The 18708-nt window shown below is 51.4% G+C and overlaps 2 protein-coding genes and 1 non-coding gene across 7 annotated transcripts in view, besides 3 other annotated features; 2 read left to right on the top strand and 1 right to left on the bottom strand.

Annotated features, from left to right (window-relative positions):
• FADS2 (fatty acid desaturase 2) overlaps window positions 1–846 on the bottom strand; it is a 51152-nt gene extending 50306 nt beyond the window's left edge. For 2 of the 3 annotated variants that reach the window (XM_047427889.1, NM_001281501.1), the window contains exon 1: window positions 623–846. Coding sequence is in view for 2 of the 3 variants with exons in the window: in NM_001281501.1 (NP_001268430.1) it covers window positions 623–763 (141 nt within the window). In the remaining variant the exon portion in view is untranslated. Of the gene's footprint in view, window positions 1–352 lie in introns of all 3 variants that reach the window. The other variant, NM_001281502.1, reaches the window with a different exon arrangement.
• On the top strand, window positions 46–17422 carry FADS1 (fatty acid desaturase 1). Of its 3 annotated transcripts, none has more exons than NM_013402.7 (12): window positions 46–494; window positions 3696–3806; window positions 4381–4578; window positions 5974–6075; window positions 6170–6298; window positions 10325–10385; window positions 12288–12364; window positions 13282–13379; window positions 13590–13686; window positions 13938–14017; window positions 14123–14248; window positions 14587–17422. In NM_013402.7, the coding sequence occupies exons 1-12, from the start codon at window positions 120–122 to the stop codon at window positions 14636–14638; spliced, it is 1506 nt and encodes a 501-aa protein (NP_037534.5). In that variant the 5' UTR covers window positions 46–119; the 3' UTR covers window positions 14639–17422. The 3 variants fall into 3 exon arrangements, with proteins under 3 accessions (NP_037534.5, XP_011543324.1, XP_047282891.1); XM_011545022.3 differs by lacking the exon at window positions 46–494 and adding an exon at window positions 1799–1975; XM_047426935.1 differs by lacking the exon at window positions 46–494 and adding an exon at window positions 1898–2192 and having other exon boundaries at window positions 3481–3806.
• Window positions 125–324: a silencer, noted in NCBI's record as "silent region_3400". NCBI's record gives its function as "represses an Ori minimal core promoter by ATAC-STARR-seq in GM12878 lymphoblastoid cells {active_cell/tissue: GM12878}" and the evidence as "EXISTENCE:reporter gene assay evidence [ECO:0000049][PMID:35858748]".
• Window positions 845–1742: an enhancer, noted in NCBI's record as "NANOG-H3K27ac-H3K4me1 hESC enhancer chr11:61582779-61583676 (GRCh37/hg19 assembly coordinates)". NCBI's record gives its function as "activates a minimal SCP1, AML or CMV promoter by ChIP-STARR-seq in naive H9 embryonic stem cells {active_cell/tissue: H9 hESC(naive)}" and the evidence as "EXISTENCE:reporter gene assay evidence [ECO:0000049][PMID:30033119]".
• MIR1908 (microRNA 1908) lies at window positions 1809–1888 on the top strand. The gene has a single exon (NR_031729.1). It is a non-coding gene; the product is annotated as a microRNA 1908 (primary transcript).
• Window positions 1845–1964: a silencer, noted in NCBI's record as "silent region_3399". NCBI's record gives its function as "represses an Ori minimal core promoter by ATAC-STARR-seq in GM12878 lymphoblastoid cells {active_cell/tissue: GM12878}" and the evidence as "EXISTENCE:reporter gene assay evidence [ECO:0000049][PMID:35858748]".
• Window positions 17423–18708: the final 1286 nt, after the last annotated feature.

Raw genomic sequence — 18708 nt, 5'->3', positions numbered from 1 at the left:
ATCCGGCGGCGACGCCTTTAGGGAGCCCGCGAGGGGGCGCGTGTTGGCAGCCCAGCTGTGAGTTGCCCAAGACCCACCGGGGGACGGGATCTCGCTCCCCGCGCCACGAGGCTCGGCCAATGGGAACGCGCGCTGCGAGGCCCGCCGGTCTGCCCTGCGGTGCTGAAAACCCGGCGCGCAGGCGGCTGGCTCTGGGCGCGCGCCAGCAAATCCACTCCTGGAGCCCGCGGACCCCGAGCACGCGCCTGACAGCCCCTGCTGGCCCGGCGCGCGGCGTCGCCAGGCCAGCTATGGCCCCCGACCCGGTGGCCGCCGAGACCGCGGCTCAGGGACCTACCCCGCGCTACTTCACCTGGGACGAGGTGGCCCAGCGCTCAGGGTGCGAGGAGCGGTGGCTAGTGATCGACCGTAAGGTGTACAACATCAGCGAGTTCACCCGCCGGCATCCAGGGGGCTCCCGGGTCATCAGCCACTACGCCGGGCAGGATGCCACGGTGAGCGCAGCCAGGCGGGGGCACAGGAGAGGGCGGGACCGGAGGCTGAGTGCAGGGGAGACAGAGTTACGCACTCCGAGCCAAACACCGACTAATTCGGAGGAAAGCCCGGAGGCGCCTGATCATACCTGTTGCCCGGTGATTGGGTGTCCTGCGGATGCGGGATGAAAAGGCGGGAGAGAGGCCTGGAGAAGTGGAGTCTGGGGAGTGGGGATGGAGGCCAACAACACGCACACACAAACAAAGGGTCCCGCCTCCCTGCCGTGCATTCCATCTGCAGCCCCGAGCCTCAGGTCTCTGGGCGGGGACAGAACCCCGAGCTGGGTAGGCTAGGAGGGAGGAGAGCAAGGATGCAGGCCGCCTGGGGAGGGAGGGGGTCAGTGGCCAGGGGAGGGAGTCACATCCTGTCTCGATGGCTAGGAGAGGCAGCGCAGCCGCGTCTGGACCTAGGTGCCGGTCTCCACTCGCCAGCAGGAGCGGAGAGGGAGCAGGAAAGGAGCCCATTCTCGAGGATGGGGCTGAAACGGGAAGCTTGGGGAGACCGCTGCCTTGGGGACCCCTGCGTCGTGTGAAGACTGGAGGACGCGGAAGGGACAGCGCTGGCCGGGGAGGGCAAGCGGCCGCTGGCGTACATAAGGGATTGGGAATGGCATACACTTAGCGAGGACCCCCAGAGCTGTTCTCGAATCGCCGGGGAGGCCACTGAGCCGCAGGCCAGCGAGGTCTTCAGCTATTCCGCGGAGCGGACCGCTGTTTACGCTCTGGGGCGGTAGGCCCTTCGCGGGGTCCTGTCCCTTCTTCCCTTGGTCTCACTGCGGGGTCGGCGCGCGCCCCAGCCCCAGGCCTGCTGCTTCCCTTTCTAGACCACAGCCCTCAGAGCTAAGGCCCCGGCGCCTCTCTGCTGGGTTGGAGTCCTGGGGACTCAGTCCTAGGGACTCGAAAGTCGGGGCGTTCCCTTCACCGCGTTTCCCCCTTGGCGGCCAGAATGGCGTCCCCTCCCCTTGCATCCCCCTCTGATCCCGTGCCCTGCAGCGTGATGCCCTCCACTGTCCCTATCCACTACCCTGGCGTCCCAGAGTGTGCCGCGGGTCACCAGGTTCCCATAACGTCGCAGCAGAGCTTAGACGCTGCGGGGCGAAGACCCGCCCCACCCTCTGACGCGACCAGCCTAGTGGGCGAGGCCAGAGCTTGCGCGGGTCAACCAGAGTGACCACTCGGGAGCCCTGACTGCGGCCAAGGGCGCAGGCGTGTCCCGGCGCATGCGCAGACGAAACAGGCACCAACGCTGGAGCTTCCCGCAGTGTGATTTGGGGCCGGGAATGCCGCGGCGGGGACGGCGATTGGTCCGTATGTGTGGTGCCACCGGCCGCCGGCTCCGCCCCGGCCCCCGCCCCACACGCCGCATCACTTACAGGGCCCGGGGCTGCCGGACCTGCCAACGTGAATCTTATCGCCATGGACCTTACCTTGCACAACCCAAAGTAGCTGCCTTGGGGCAGGGGGTGGCCAGAGTGCTTAGGGAAATGTGGAGCCCTACCCAGAACAACGGTGGAGGGAAAGGGAAGAAACGCAGAAGTGCCCCAGTTCGGACGTAGGGAAGTCTTCCTCTTCGTGGTTTTTGGAGAACCCTAGCTAAGAGAGGAAAGGGACTTATTGAAAGACCCGCAAGAAGGGACGGAAGTCTCATAGCCCTGAGAGGTGAAGCCAGCTGGAGTTGATGGGTCGAATGGGGACCTAGAGAACTTTTCTGTATCTAGAGGTTTGTAAAATGCACCAATCAGTGCTCTGTAAAAACGCACCAATTGGCGCTCTGTAGCTAGCTAGAGGTTTGTAAAATGAGCCAATCAGCAGGACGTGGGCAGGGACAACTAAGACAATAAAAGCTGGCCACCCCAGCCAGCTGCTGCAACCCGCTCCAGTTCCCTTACAGGCTGTGGAAGCATTGTTCTTTTGCTCGTCACACTAAACCTTGCTGCTGCTCATTCTTTGGGTCTGCAAAGAGTGTTATTCCTTTAAGAGCTATAACAGCGGGAAGGTCCACGGCTCCATTCTTGAAGTCAGTGAGACCATACCCGCCGGAAGGAACCAACGCCCGACACAGCCCCACCCATCTCTCCTGTTTCTCACCTATACTGAAATTCTTGGGCAAAAGCTGTCTGTGGACACACCCAGGGGAAAGGCCAGCCCAGGCAGGTGTTTCTTAGTGGTTCCCCTCAGCCAATGCTTCCCATTCCTTGATGCATCCTTCTAACTAGAGCAGATACTCGGTGATCTTAAACTGTGGACACCTGGGAGCACCCTCAAAAGGCAGCTGGGCCTAGGGAGATGGCCTGTGCTTCTGTGTCAGGAGTTGGTTCCTTCAGGTGGGCTCGTGGTCTCGCTGACGTCAAGAATGAAGCCATGAACCTTCGCGGTGAGTGTTACAGCTCTTACAGGTGGCGTGGACCCAAAGAGTGAGCAGCAGCAAGATTTATTGTGAAGAGCAAAGAACAAAGCTTCCACAGCGTGGAAGGGTACCCGAGCAGGTTGCCGCTGCTGGACGTTGGGGGGTGTGAGGGGGAGCAGCCTTTTTTTTTTTTTTTTTTTTTGAGACGGAGTCTCCCTGTCGCCCAGGCTGGAGTGCAGTGGCGCGATCTCGGCTCACTGCAGGCTCCGCCCTCCCCCGGGGTTCACGCCATTCTCCTGCCTCAGCCTCCCGAGTAGCTGGGACTACAGGCGCCCGCTACCTCGCCCGGCTAATTTTTTGTATTTTTAGTAGAGACGGGGTTTCACTGTGTTAGCCAGGATGGTCTCGATCTCCTGACCTCGTGATCCACCCGCCTTGGCCTCCCAAAGTGCTGGGATTACAGGCGTGAGCCACCGCGCCCGGCCGGGAGCAGCTTTTATTCCCTTATTTGTCCCTGCCCATGTCCTGCTGATTTGTCCATTTTATAGAGCACTGATTGGTCCATTTTACAGGGTGCTGATTGGTCCATTTTACCTCTAGCTAGCTAAAGAGCACGGATTGGTGCATTTTACAAACCTCTAGCTACAGAAAAGTTCTCCAAGTCTGCACTCGACCCAGGAAGTCCATCTGGCTTCACCTCTCACTTCAACTTGGGTACAGCCTTCTGGCGGGCAGGAGGATGGCCTTTGGTGCGAACACTGCCGGAGTCCAGGGGGCTGGCTCCCTCACCTTTCATCTTCTCCCGGCACTTGCAGGATCCCTTTGTGGCCTTCCACATCAACAAGGGCCTTGTGAAGAAGTATATGAACTCTCTCCTGATTGGAGAACTGTCTCCAGAGCAGCCCAGCTTTGAGCCCACCAAGAATGTAAGACCCTGTGTTTGCTATGTCGCAACTATTGGTTGTTGAGGGGGACAGAGAGGGGGTGGAAGGAGAGTCTAGATGGGATCACAGTCATAGTAATCACAGTCAGTAGTAGCTCTGGGGAGTCTTGAGGTCCCTGCTTCTCTTGCATAGTCATGAGGTCACAGGCCCAAGGGAGCATGGCTTTGCAACCTATGGCTCCCCCAAGGCTGCCACTACCATGGCTGCCATCATTGTTATCATCATTGTTATCATATGAGCACTTACTATGCACCAAGCATAAACTCATAACTCTTACACATTTACAGATGAGATAACAGGCTCAGGGAGGTTAAGCAACACAGCCAAGGATCACACAGTTAGTAAATGGCAGAGCAAGGACTTAGTCCCCTGAACTCTTAGGCACTATCCCATGGCACCTCCTCCTGTCATCCTCATTGTCGTGGTATCTTTGCCTAGGACTGTGGACTTCCCACAGCTACCTCAGTGGGAGGTCCTTGAGCCTGAGAGGGCCCTTGTCTCCAGTAGCATTGGGGTGCAGATGAGAAGAATAACAGCTCCTCTTCCTCTTCTGCAGAAAGAGCTGACAGATGAGTTCCGGGAGCTGCGGGCCACAGTGGAGCGGATGGGGCTCATGAAGGCCAACCATGTCTTCTTCCTGCTGTACCTGCTGCACATCTTGCTGCTGGATGGTGCAGCCTGGCTCACCCTTTGGGTCTTTGGGACGTCCTTTTTGCCCTTCCTCCTCTGTGCGGTGCTGCTCAGTGCAGTTCAGGTGAGAGCCTTTGGCTTGTCAAGTGCACAGCAATGCTCAGCATCCCTGGGGAAAGCTCCTTGGGTGTTTGAGGAAGGCCAAGAGTGCCTGCCCTCCAAGCAGGGCAGATCTGAAGGTATGCAGGAGTGAGTGCAGGAACATGCATTCTGCTGTCTTGACCTGTCTGCTCTTTAGCCACATGGACATCTTCATTTCTCTCACTGCCTTTTTAGCTGCTTCTCCAAGGGTTCTCTTCTTCCTATGCGGTTTGTTCTCTGCCACAGCCCACCTGTGCCAGGAGCCAAGTTTCTGGTTTCTTAGCAAAGCTTGGCTCCCTCCCCACCACTGACATTGCCCAATATGTTAATAATGATTGAGCGCTAATTCTTGACTGTCAGGACCCATTTGGCAAGCCTTCTGCTCATGTTTCAGTCCTTTCTGTATTCTAGATGTCAGTCCATCATAAGTCATGAGCTTCAGGCCAGGTGTGGTGACTCATGTCTGTAATCCTAGCACTTTGGGAGGCCAAGGTGGCCGGATCACTTGATCTCAGTTCAAGACCAGCCTGGCCAACGTGGTGAAACCTCTACTAAAAATACAAAAAGGCCAGGCACAGTGGCTCACGCCTGTAATACCAGTACCTTGGGAGGCCAAGATGGGCAGATCATTTGAGGTGAGGAGTTCAAGACCACCTGGCCAACATGGTGAAACCCCGTCTCTATTAAAATACAACAGTTAGCTGGGAGTGGTGGTGGGTGCCTGTAATCCCAGCTACATGGGAGGCTGAGGCAGGAGAATTGCTTGAACCTGGGAAGCGAAGGTTGCAGTGAGCCGAGTTGGCACCATTGCACTCCAGCCTGGGCAACAGAGCGACACTCTCAAAACAGGCCAGGTATGGTGGCTCACGCCTGTTATCCCAGCAGTTTGGGAGGCCAAGGTGGGCAGATCACCTGAGGTCAGGAGTTCGAGACCAGCCTGGCTAACATGGTGAAACCTCGACTCTTACTAAAAATACAAAAAAATCAGCCAGGCTTGGTGGCGGGCACCTGTAATCCCAGCTACTTGGGAGGCTGAGGCAGGAGAATTACTTGAACCCAGGAGGCGGAGGTTGCAGTGATCTGAAACCGCACCATTGCACTCCAGCCTGGGCAACAAGAACAAAACTGTCTCAAAAAAAAAAAGTCATGAGCTTCGGAGCTGGCGAAACAGAAGAACAGAGAAGGGATGGTGATTTGCCCCAACTCACGTGTGAGTCAGTGGCAGAGGCAGAACTAGGACCCATGTTTCCTGACTCCTGAGGTGCATCACAGGCCTTGGCAGATGAAGGAAGTGGGAGAGGCTGAAGGAGGCATCGAGGTCAGTGAAGGCGACACTGGGGCTGGTGGGCTGCTCTCAGTGTTGACTCTTCTCACCTAGGCCCAGGCTGGCTGGCTGCAGCATGACTTTGGGCACCTGTCGGTCTTCAGCACCTCAAAGTGGAACCATCTGCTACATCATTTTGTGATTGGCCACCTGAAGGTCAGTGGGATGGGGAGGAGCTCTCTAAAACTCCAGGCAATGAAGGGCTGCCTTGGGGGAAGCTTTTCATACTCGTGTCCCTGCTTTTCTGTAGGGGGCCCCCGCCAGTTGGTGGAACCACATGCACTTCCAGCACCATGCCAAGCCCAACTGCTTCCGCAAAGACCCAGACATCAACATGCATCCCTTCTTCTTTGCCTTGGGGAAGATCCTCTCTGTGGAGGTGCGTGGAGGTATCAGTGGAAAGGTCTTGGGGAATAGGAGGCAGCCAACATAGGGGAGTTGGGGAAGATGCCCACGATGTTGTCAGTGTGGGCAAGACACTGGGGCTGGGCTGGCTGGGGCTTTTGCCATTTTGGAAGTTCTGGAAGGCAACAGGCAATAGATGGGGGCTGCCCAGGAGGGAGTCACCATCCTCCCTAGAGAGTTCAGTCAGCAAACCGTTACTGCATAAAAGGCACCTCATTTTGCAAAGGATCCAGCGGATGACCAGAAGGATCCAAATGATGAGATAGCCTATCCTTGAAGGTGCTGATGGCACCTCCTGGAGGTGCTTTTTTGACACTCTTGCCCCAGGCAAGTATTCCCCTTGCACTTTGTATTTCTCTCCCACACTTAGGTATCCTTCTTGTCACAGTCTTCTCTGTCCAGGGCTGGACTGTCTTACTCTTCTTTCATGTCCAATATCTGGAACATTCATTCACTGAGTACTTCTTCCCACCCTGCTGATCCCCAGCCTGATTTCCTGGGTGGTCAGCGTTGGGTTTGAGATGTCGTCTGAAGTTGTAAGCAGAAATAATGTAGCTGCTGAAGGAATAATGCCTGGGGGTGGAGATCTGGTGAGCTTTTAGTGAGCATTAGGCAATGGAAGGTTCTAAAAGGCCAGCAGAATTCTTTGAAAAGTTCATTTAAAGCCCTTTGTCCCAAGGCTGTAGGCTGCAGAGTTCTTCCAGGTCCACCTCCTCCACTTTGTGACATTTCAGCTTGCGAGGAATTAAATTGTCGTTAAAACACATTTCAGTTCTAGGCATGAGTTCAAGGTAGCCTGGCGTTCCTCTCGCCCCTGGCCATGAGAACTTTGAAAGGGCTTTGGCAGCACTGGTTGGCCTGGCATGAGGAGCTCATAGCTTGAGGCTCATGCCCCACCTGTCCATAATGTTCTTATTTTCCCATCATGAGCATGGACTTGGGTTTGTTACATGTCCGATACCATTATGGTCAGTACTATGCAGATGACGAAGCAGCCCTGTCCCCCGTCTGACTCCCATGGCTGCTTCAAGGGCAGTGTGGTTATTTGCTGGGCAGTGGCATGGGGCTTGTGCATTTCTACTGTCACTACAGAGGGTTTAAAAAAAAGACATGGGCAGGTTAAGTGGAAGGGAACAGTCTCACACCACTACCTTTATTGCTTCTTGGTACTTGGGTTTTCAGGAAATTCCTATCAGCAGACATCAAAAACAGAGAATGAAGGGACGCAGTTGGCATGTGCCTGTGGTCCCAGCTACTTGGGAGGCTGAGGTGGGAGCATCGCTTGAGCCCAGGAGGTGAAGGCTGCAGTGAGTATGATCACGCCACTGCACTCCAGCCTGGGTAACAGCGCAACCCTGTGTGTAAAAATAATAATTTTTTAAAAAGATTAAAACCAAAAAAAAATTGTAAACAGAGTTCAACGTAACTTACAGATTAAAAACAGTAAAATATGACAGAAACTGAGAGGTAGTCATGATCAGATATGGCCTCCTTCGGGTGCCGACATCTGAACTGAGACCTGAATGATGAAAAGGGCCAACACTGCAAAAATTCAGGGAAGGAACATTTGGAACAGAGAGAACAGTCAAGTACAGAGGCTCCCGGATGTTCAGGGACAGTAAGCAATGAGAGAATGAGAAGACCAGAAAACTAGGGAGGGGCCAGATCATGTAGGGCCTTAGAAAGCCATGGTAAGGGTGTGGTAAGAAGTTTGGGTTTTATTCCAATAGCAATGGGGAGTCACAGGAGGGTTTCTGGTGGGTACAGCAATCTGCTTTGCACTTTAAAAGGCTTGCTCTGGCTGGAGGTGGAGAGGATGAATTATAGAGGGTAGGTATAATCACAGATATAACCTCAGTGAGGCGGCTGGAGCGAGTCCAGACCAGACCACGGAGGAGCAGGTGAAGCCAATGGATTTGGGATATGTTTTGGAGGCAGTGTAAGCAACGCTTGCTGAGGACCTGGATGTGGTGGTGAGAATCACCCCATCTCGAGCAACATTAACTGAGGAAAAAATTGAAAAAGGGGCGCCCTTGCTTGGGGGCTTCCTATTGTGGAACTGTTATGGAAAGGAGCCCCATCCATTGCTTCCTCCTTGAATGGCAAATGCCTTTATGATCCCTATAACTTGTCCCATTATGTTTAGACCCTTGGTGGTCAGAAGGGTTCTATTTAGGGCAGTGTCCCCTGCCCCTCCTTGTCCTCCAAAAATTTTGGGAGGCACTGACGTGGATGTCATGGGGTCAGCACAGGCATCAACATCCCCAGAGGGATGGAACCAAGCAGCCTATTGCCCAGGCATTCACTAACAGGCAGCCCATCCTCAGCCTCATAGCTGGCCGGGGAGAAGAAAGGCTATTTTGGGTCCCAGATCTTTTTTTTTTTTTTTGAGACAGAGTCTCGCTCTGTCACCCAGGCTGAAGTGCAATGGTGCGGTCTCAGCTCACTACAACCTCCGCCTCCCGAGTTCAAGAGATTCTCCTGCCTCAGCCTCCTGAGTAGCTGGGACTACAGGTGCGTACCACCAAGCCTGGCTAATTTTTGTGCTTTTAGTAGGGACGTGGTTTCACCATGTTGCCCAGGTTGGTCTCAAACTCCTGGGCTCATGCAGTCCGCCTACCTCAGCCTCCCAAAGTGCTGGGATTACAGGCATGAGCCACTGCACCCGGTCTCTGTTTACAAATTTATCACCAGCTTCATCCCCTAAGGTTATAAGCTCCATGAGGGTGGGAAGTCTGTATTGTTCACCTCTGTATCCTAAGCATCTAGAACATAGCCCGGCACACAGTAGGTGCTGAAGAACTTGAATCTGTTAATGTAGAAAGGATGTTTCATCTAGCTGAAGTGTCTTGTACAGAATAAACTCTCAATAAATGAACTGTGGACACATGGAAGGGTGAGCTAGAGCTCTGCTCAGGGGTTGAGTGCTCCTCTTGTGCCCTTGTGGTTGTCTGGTTACCTGAACTAATTGGAGTGCGATGCAGACATAGTCATGGAGTGAGACAGCAGAACTTTGCTGTCTTGTTTGTGAGCCCACATCAGGGGTTCTAGACTGGCTGGTTGACATGGTGGCCCCAGCCTGTCTCTTCAGCAGCTCGGCTTATAAAAAATAACCACCACCTACTGGGGAAAACTGCTGGAACCTTCAGATTGCCAAATTGTTCTTGGTGTCTTTTCCAGAAATATTTGCCAAACTCGAATTAGCCTTCAGGAGATTTGATAAAGCTCATGTTTAAGTCAAGAGACCAAAAGATTTTGATGGGGAGAATTAGGGGCTGGATATAGAGGGAATACTTAACCTGTATAGGGGCAGATATGGTTGTCCATGGAGATTCTGGTGTGAAAAAGTACGATGGCGGCCGGGCGCACTGCCTCACACCTGTAATCCCAGCACTCTGGGAGGCTGAGGTGGGTGGATCACCTGAGGTTGGGAGTTCAAGACCAGCCTGAACAACATGGAGAAACCCCATCTCTACTAAAAATACAAAATTAGCTGGGCGTGGAGGCACATGCCTGTAATCCTAGCTACTTGGGAGGCTGAGGCAGGAGAATCGCTTGAACCCAGGGAGGCAGAAGTTGTGGTAAGCCAAGATCGTGCCATTGCACTCCAGCCTGGGCAACAAGAGCGAGACTCCGTCTAAAAAATAAACAAAAAAGTACGATGGGAGAAAGGGGAGAGGGCAGTGGGGCCTGGAAACCTCATGACAAAGAGAATGAACACAAGAGGGCCTGTGGTCCTGTAGACTCTGTGCTGTGCACATCCCTCATGTGAGCATGGGCCATCCAGCTGCAGGCCATGGTGTGACACACTCTGCAGATTACAGTCTAGGGCTTCATGTTCCATGTGCTGGAGGTAAGGCTGGGCCTCTTGGAGCTTTCCAATAGCACCAACAAGCTGTCAGCCCTGGAGGAGGCCTAAACCTCCAAGCAAGGAAAGGTCAAGTCACAGAGGGAGGAATCACTGGTCTCCGAATGCTCATGTGTTTGCTTTTCTTCACAGCTTGGGAAACAGAAGAAAAAATATATGCCGTACAACCACCAGCACAAATACTTCTTCCTAAGTGAGTGTCCCCATCCAACACAGGGGAGCTGCCTCAGGAGGGAATGCTGAGGGAATGAGGAGGATGTGGCTGTCCAAGGGATTATGGTATTTTAAGGAAAGGGGCTAGAGGAAGTACCCCACTCCCACCCCCAGTTACTCCCTGCATGACAGCAGTTTGCCATCTCAGCTGAGCGAAGTGAAGTTAGGCTGATGATTGGTTGAAGGCAAACTAGTTCTTCCCATCCAACCCCAGTTTCCACTGGGAAGCTGGGTGTTTGGGGTGTAGAGGGGCCTCTTGCTTTATCCTCAACCTTATCTTTTTTTTTTTTTTTTTGAGACGGAGTCTTGCTCTGTCGCCCAGGCCGGACTGCGGACTGCAGTGGCGCAATCTCGGCTCACTGCAAGCTCTCCGCTTCCCGGGTTCACGCCATTCTCCTGCCTCAGCCTCCCGAGTAGCTGGGATTACAGGCACCCGCCACCGCGCCCGGCTAATTTTTTGTATTTTTAGTAGAGACGGGGTTTCACCTTGTTAGCCAGGATGGTCTCGATCTCCTGACCTCATGATCCACCCGCCTCGGCCTCCCAAAGTGCTGGGATTACAGGCGTGAGCCACCGCGCCCGGCCCCTCAACCTTATCTTAAACTTTGTCAAGATGGGCCAAGGTAACCTGGTAGAGCCCAGTCCAACCCCCAGAGGAACAAAGGTACAGATAGTTCTGGAAGGATGGGTCCTGAGGAGAGAATGGAAGAGCTGTTAGAACGAAGAAGATCTTTCTGATGACTGCCACATATTCCCAGCTTTAAAAGTCTGTCCCAGCTACTAAGGAAACTGAGGTGGGACCATCCTTTGAGCCCAGGAATTTGGGGCTGCAGTAAGCTCCGATTGTGCCACTGCACTCCAGCCTGGGCAACAGAGTGAGATCTTGTTTCTTAAAACAACAACAACTCTGCTCCATAATGCCTAAAATGAGCTTTAAACGCCTTTAAATTTTCAAATTTTTTAAAGAAGGAAGGGAAGGAGTCCACTGATCTTATTTTAGTTTGAAGGAATTCATCCTAACTGCCTATCACCAACTATCACGAATAGAGAAAGGCGATGGGGCAGAAGGGTAGAGCAGAGACCTCTGGAAGAAATAGTTTTAGAATCCATGGCACATCAAGATGGAGGAGCCATGGGTGAGCATTGTCATGCTAGGAGTTATGGGTAGCATCAGGTGCCACAGAGAAGGGCTACAGAAAAGGAAATGAGGAAGCATGTAGAATGCAACACTTCTTCAACTCCCAGTTTTCTTTCAAGAGAGGCCCCTCTGTTCCGTCCCACAGCTGACCTCCAGGGCTTCAGATTGGGGTGGCACAAGCCCATCTCCCTAGTTTAAGGAAGTGAGCTTCACAGCCTGTGAAGGATCCACAGGGTCCCTCCCAACACACACACACTTTCCTGCTCCTGCCCCTTCACCTGCATGGTGGAGCTGCCAGGAACAAAGGGCAGATGACTGTAGGGACAGGGCTGTGGCCAAGGTAAGTAAGAGAGTATTAGCACCCTTTTAAAAGTGTGGGATCCTTGGAGTGTGTATGTAGAAAAGAGAAGAAAAATGAAAAATAATAAAGGTGTGGGAGCAGAGCAAGTCCCATGCGTGGGGCCTGAGTTCCCAAGCACCTGTCACTGAAGAGTGCCACTCGCACCCCTCACCTTCCCTGGCATCCTCTTGGGAGTTTTTGCCTTCCCCAGACTTGGATTTATGCCCACCTTCAGTGCCTGCTGGTTCCAGTGGATTGCAGAGCACTCAAGCACCTGGAGGGGAGACAGAAGGGATGGTTGGAAGAGGCAGCCCCCTGCTAGAGGCCATCTCTCCCAACATCAACTGGCCCTTTCATGACCTTCCTGTGCTCATGCCTCCTCTTTGTCTCGGTTTCCTCCCCAGTTGGGCCCCCAGCCTTGCTGCCTCTCTACTTCCAGTGGTATATTTTCTATTTTGTTATCCAGCGAAAGAAGTGGGTGGTGAGTATCCATGGCCCAAGAAGCCCACATCCTTGTCTCCAGCACCCAGAGTGGGGGATAGGGGTTCCCCAGGGGAAACTTGAGACTGACTCTAGGCCTAATTTAGAACAAAATAATAGAACCAGACACAGATCCTCCTTATCTCTAAGTGGGACGAAATGATTTGAGCTTAGCAGGCAGCCTGATTCCCAATGTGTAATTTCATGCGGTCAGTGTCTCCAGAGGTTCTTGTACTGGGCATAATGCCAGGGGGCTGAGTTGGGAATGGGGAAGATGAATGAGAGACAATACCTACTTTCAAGGAAACTTCTGATGAAGCAGAATGTGGTTATTAATCAGAAAAGAGGTACAGGCAATAGGTTCTGGGGACTCCAAAAGGGGCCTGACTGCACCTGGCTTTGTGAAGTCACTTTTCTAGCTGGCCTTGAGGCTGGGCAGGGTTTCTGACAGGCAGAGGTGGAGCAGGGGGGATGAACTCTGAGCAGAGAAGCTGGAAATGAGGGGTAAGTTTGACCACCAGACATATTGTGGAGGACTAGTGTCAGGGGAAGAGTATGGTGCTTGGTTCAGTGATGAGAGATTTGATCAGGGCACTGGCATGGACTGAGCCATGGTCCTGGCAGATTCATTTGGCGGCATGCTGAAGGATTTAGATTGGCTAGGAAGAGCTAGAGGCAAAGAGACCTTGTAGGCCTTGGTACTTTTGAAGGGGACATGCAAGAAGGGCTGGGGGGTGCCAATGGGAATGGAAGAAAGGAGCAGTGGCACTAGATACTGCAGGATTGGACCCCTGAGAAGCTGAAGATGAGTGAGTCTGGATAACCAGGAGAATGGCTGCACCATGCAAACAAAGAGCTGCTGAGAGGAAGAGGAAGAGTTGTTCGTGACTGTTATGCTCGCTGCTTTTCTCACTATAGGACTTGGCCTGGATGATTACCTTCTACGTCCGCTTCTTCCTCACTTATGTGCCACTATTGGGGCTGAAAGCCTTCCTGGGCCTTTTCTTCATAGTCAGGTAGTATTCGGTGGGGGCGGATAGGGACTGGTGAAGGAAATGTTGGGGAGTGACCAGTCTGGTCTAGGGGCCGTGCTGGGGCTTTGGGTAACAGTGGGTGTTTCAGGAGTTGGCTTGGGAAAGTAGACAGGCTGGAGCAGTTATCTGAGGGGGGAATCAGAATTCTGGGCTCTGTGTGTACTGTTTTTGTCTGTGTAATACATCTAACAGGTTCCTGGAAAGCAACTGGTTTGTGTGGGTGACACAGATGAACCATATTCCCATGCACATTGATCATGACCGGAACATGGACTGGGTTTCCACCCAGGTAAGGGACAGTCACTCAGAAGACTGGAGCATAACACAACTATTGAAAAGGATGCGTAGGTGAAAACAGCAAAAACAAAAAGTCCCCCAAACAGCATTTTCTCATTAGCCTGAGGCTCTTGTTCTGCAACCATGTGAAGGGAGTGACCAAGACAGTCTCATGTCCCTTCCTCAGCCAGCTTTACCTGGAGAATGCTGGGCTGGCCTTTCCATCTGATATTCAACATGCTCTCCCCTGACCTTTTCCGCCAGCTCCAGGCCACATGCAATGTCCACAAGTCTGCCTTCAATGACTGGTTCAGTGGACACCTCAACTTCCAGATTGAGCACCAGTGAGTAGGGAGCCTGGGGAAGCAGGGTCCTGGGGAGGGTGTAAGTGTTGGGTACAGGTGGGAGCAGAGAAGCAGGAACCACTGACTCCCCCGTTCTCCCTAAAGTCTTTTTCCCACGATGCCTCGACACAATTACCACAAAGTGGCTCCCCTGGTGCAGTCCTTGTGTGCCAAGCATGGCATAGAGTACCAGTCCAAGCCCCTGCTGTCAGCCTTCGCCGACATCATCCAGTGAGTATCTGAGACCAGGAAGATGGCTAGTAGGGAGGGAAGAGGGCAGGGCAATGGAAATGATGACATGTAGGGTGGGGAGTGAACAGAAGGTGTTCCCAGTCGTGTGGGATGGAGTTCACCATGGCAAAGGCAGGATTCTTTATTGGACCTGTGGCCAGGTCAGGCCTTTGCCCTCATTGGGGTTCCCCTCAGTACCATGGCCCAAGCTAGCTTTCTCTAAAGTAGAGGGGAGGAAAACCTCCAGATGGAAGAAGGCCTTAACCTCACTGCTCCATCTCCGGTGGGTTCAACTCTGCTTGTCTCCCTCACTGTCTGCCCCCATTTTGTCCCTGCAGCTCACTAAAGGAGTCAGGGCAGCTCTGGCTAGATGCCTATCTTCACCAATAACAACAGCCACCCTGCCCAGTCTGGAAGAAGAGGAGGAAGACTCTGGAGCCAAGGCAGAGGGGAGCTTGAGGGACAATGCCACTATAGTTTAATACTCAGAGGGGGTTGGGTTTGGGGACATAAAGCCTCTGACTCAAACTCCTCCCTTTTATCTTCTAGCCACAGTTCTAAGACCCAAAGTGGGGGGTGGACACAGAAGTCCCTAGGAGGGAAGGAGCTGTTGGGGCAGGGGTGTAAATTATTTCCTTTTTCTAGTTTGGCACATGCAGGTAGTTGGTGAACAGAGAGAACCAGGAGGGTAACAGAAGAGGAGGGACCTACTGAACCCAGAGTCAGGAAGAGATTTAACACTAAAATTCCACTCATGCCGGGCGTGGTGGCACGCGCCTGTAATCCCAGCTACCCAGGAGGCTGAGGCAGGAGAATCGCTTGAACCGGGGAGGTGGAGGTTGCAGTGAGCTGAGATCACGCCATTGTACTCCAGCCTGGGCGACAGAGCAAGACTCCATTTCAAAAAAAAAAAAAAAATCCACTCATATAAAAGGTGAGCTCAGCTCACTGGTCCATTTCTCAGTGGCTTCTCCATCCTCATTTGCAAACCTCAGAGGGATAAGGCAGTTGAACCTGATGAGCAAGAATTATAACAGCAAGGAAACATTAATGCTTAGAATTCTGAGATCCAGCACAACTCAGTCTGTGGGAGCTCAGCTCGCTGCCCAGGGATAGGTATGACCTATGTCTGCCTTAGGCTGCTGGGAGATGCCATTCTCCAGTTTCAGAAGCAGGCAGGGCAAAGGTCAAGACTGTGGTATTGGGGTCTTTTGGCTCTGAAGGATCCTGGAACCACTGATTTTGGTTTATTCCCTCCAGGGTCTAAAGAGAACAAGAGGTGCTAGCTCTTACCAAAACAGATGGTAGAGAGAGTTGCTGGCTATTTAAAAAGCTCTTTCATCTTTTAATTCACCTCTTCTTTTCACCTCTTTAACCACTCCTCAGGAACAGAACACTTCTAGGACTGGGGGTCTTTTAGCTCCATAAGCAAGTGAGCAGATGGGACAAGTTAGTCTTTTCTCCCTAGAAACAAAGGGGATGCCCAGTGGTTTCCCTTTGCTTCCCAACCTAAAATTTCAAGTTTAATAAAATAGCAATTAGCAGAAGTGACCAAATTGGGAGATAATTATCAGTCATGAGGAAAGACACAGATTTCGGTCATAAAGAATGTAAGGGCTATAAGTAGAAACTTTCTATAACCTAAATGATGTTATAGAATTATTTTTGAGCAGGAGCAGAAAGATTAAATATGATCACTTCATACTTCTAAATCAGAAATAGGAAGATTAAAACCACAGAACAGTTTGTGATTTCTATTGCTGTAGCTAGGTATCTTACTCTGTCCACTCTTGTTCAAGTATCTAACTCTTCTGGAAACCAAATAGGCTTTAGAAGAGATTATCCTATATTCCTATCAGTATAATACTAAAATGTAACTTTTTAATCATCTGGTTTTTAAAAGATAAACAGTTTAGCCCATCTCTCCAGAGAGCAAACATAGGAATATGACTCAGGAGCCTCCTAGGGCTTATCATCAGCCCTCACACCCGCTTCCCCCTCCAACCCACAGCCTTTGCTTCCAGGTGGCAGGATTACTACTTTGCCTCTTCAGCAGCATCTACTCTAGGCATATTGATCATTTTAGACACTGGGAGAAGAGAACCTCAAACTAGGAGGAAAAGACAGAGCCTCCACTTAGTTTTGGGAGGGGATGGCAGACAGTCAAGGAGATGAGCGTCCTAAGGCATGTTGGGATAGGGTCAGATGCACCACCCATGGAGAGGTTTGTCAACACAAAGACATGGAAGGTTAGAGGTTTGTCAACAAAAAGACATGGAAGGTTAGGTTTGTCAACACAAAGACATGGAAGATTAGAGGTTTGTCAACACAAAGACACAGGAAGAATGGGCTGCAGAAGATTTAGATGTTTTCCATTTGGGCACATTTTACTTAGCTGGAGAACTAGGTTTAAAACAGCCTGGGTAGGAAAATTAGAAGCAAGCTGGATGCAGTGGCTCATGCCTGTAATCCCAACACTTTTGGGAGGTCCAGGCAGGAGGATCACTTGGGCCCAGGAGGTCAAGCCTGCAGCGAGCTGAGATCACACCACTGCACTCCAGCCTGGGGTGATAGAACAAGACCCTGTCTCAAAAAAAAAAAAAACAACAAAAACTTAGAATTGAGGAGTTGTACCTCCATTGGCTTCCTCACTCCAAAATAGGTGCTGATCCTTCCTATTCCTATTCTTTGCCACCTTTTGGGTGTGGTGTCACCAGCCTGTTTAGCCAAGTAGCTTTGGGCATAGGCTGCCCAATCTGAGCAAACACCAGTGAGGCTCTATTGAGCCAAGACCAAGTCCTCAAAGCACCTGAACCACTGTGGCCTTCTCAGCCTACAGCAGTGTGGTCTCTTACATGGCCACAAAGGGACACACAGTGACAAAAGGCTCGGAATGTTACAATGGTAAAATGAGTGATCTCAAATCCACTGACAGATATAAAATAGGCTTAGAGAGGAAAAGCTGCCTCTGGTCAAGTAGATCATGGCAGCATGAATTCCAACTCACTTTTTTACAACTCCAACTTCTATGTTTATCTTTGTTACTTTCACTTTTTTACAACCTGGCCAGAGGCATTTTTTAAATCAGGCCCAATATCAGTATTCTTTTTGTGTGTGCCAATTTTGTTATCACATCCCTATGAAGTTGAAAAATAAAGTTAATTTTGACCAAAAGACTTCATTTGTAACCCATGATGTTCATCTGTGTGTGCACAGGATTCCTGAGTGCCTCTGCTACGAGTTACTGTTCACCTCTCTGTGCTCTTAAGTTCTTGAATCACTAGACTCCCCTTTGTATTGGGCAGAGGAAGAAACATCAGGACCCTCCAGAAAACACCAAGGCAAGGGTGAAGTATGGCAAGGAAGAGCAAGGCAAAGTCCTTCTGATGACTCCCGTGTTCAAATGTGAGATTGTCAATAATCTCACCAAGTTTCACACGTATCACTTCCTCCTATTCATGAGGCAATGCCCTTGCCCTTTTGTCCTTCAGCTTTCCATTTTGAATTATTTTCTCTTTATTTTTACACTTACTTGTTTTGAGACAAGGTCTGGCTCTATGGCCCAGGCTGGAGTGCAGTGGTGCTGCCATCTTAGTTCACTGCATTCTCTGCCTCCCGGCCTCAAGCCATCTTCCCACCTCAGGCTAATTTTTTTTTTTTTTTTTTTTTTTTTTTTTTTTTTTTTGAGACCAGAGTTTCACTCTTGCTGCTCAGGCTGGAGTGTAGTGGCGTGATCTCAGCTGATTGCAGCCTCCGCCTCCTGGGTCCAAGCAATTCTCCTGCTTCAGCCTCCCGGGTAGCTAGGATTATAAGCATACACCACCGCGCCCAGCTAATTTTTTATTTTTAGTAGAGACAGGGTTTCACCATGGTGGCCAGGCTGGTCTTGAACTCCTGGCCTCAGGTGATCCACCCGCCTTGGCCTCCCAAAGTGCTGGGATTACAGGCGTGAGCCACTGCGCCTGGCCTCTCTTTACTTTTAAACTCATTTCTAGTTTCCAAATAGTCTCCCTAAGTCCTATCTGCCTAAATCTTCCTCTGCAAGTGTGATCCCTCAGAGCTTGACTGCAGAGCAGTGCCTCTTAACCATCCAACTAGAACAGCTCTGAGCAAAAACATTTGTAGGCATCATTAATCTTCCCTGCAGTGTGCACACAGAAAGTCAGATTAACAAAATTCTATAGGAGACAAACTTACCTTCAAAAGACAAAAGAAAACCACTACATTCTTGACCACCACAGGGTATAAGCCCTTAATTATTAAGAGCTACTGCACTGAGGCAATAACTCCTAAGAAATCTTAACATTTCGCCAGGCAAGGTGGCTCATCCTGTAATCCCAGCACTGGGAGAGAATGGCACACGTAATCCTAGCCTTTAGGAGGCCAAGGCGGGAGGATTGCTTGAGCCCAGGAGTTTAAGACCAGCCTGGGCAACAGTGAGATCCCATCTTTACAAAAAA

This window comes from Homo sapiens, chromosome 11 (genome assembly GCF_000001405.40).
Source record: "Homo sapiens chromosome 11, GRCh38.p14 Primary Assembly".
Lineage (NCBI taxonomy): Eukaryota > Metazoa > Chordata > Mammalia > Primates > Hominidae > Homo > Homo sapiens.
This window is presented reverse-complemented; position numbering and strand designations above follow the sequence as displayed.

Coding starts and splice junctions, on each gene's coding strand:
- FADS1 (NM_013402.7), top strand. CDS start 120: ATGGGAACGCGCGCTGCGAGGCCCGCCGGTCTGCCCTGCGGTGCTGAA. Junction 6,299..10,324: donor GGAAGATCCTCTCTGTGGAG/GTGCGTGGAGGT, acceptor TTTTCTTCACAG/CTTGGGAAACAGAAGAAAAA. Junction 14,018..14,122: donor AACTTCCAGATTGAGCACCA/GTGAGTAGGGAG, acceptor TTCTCCCTAAAG/TCTTTTTCCCACGATGCCTC.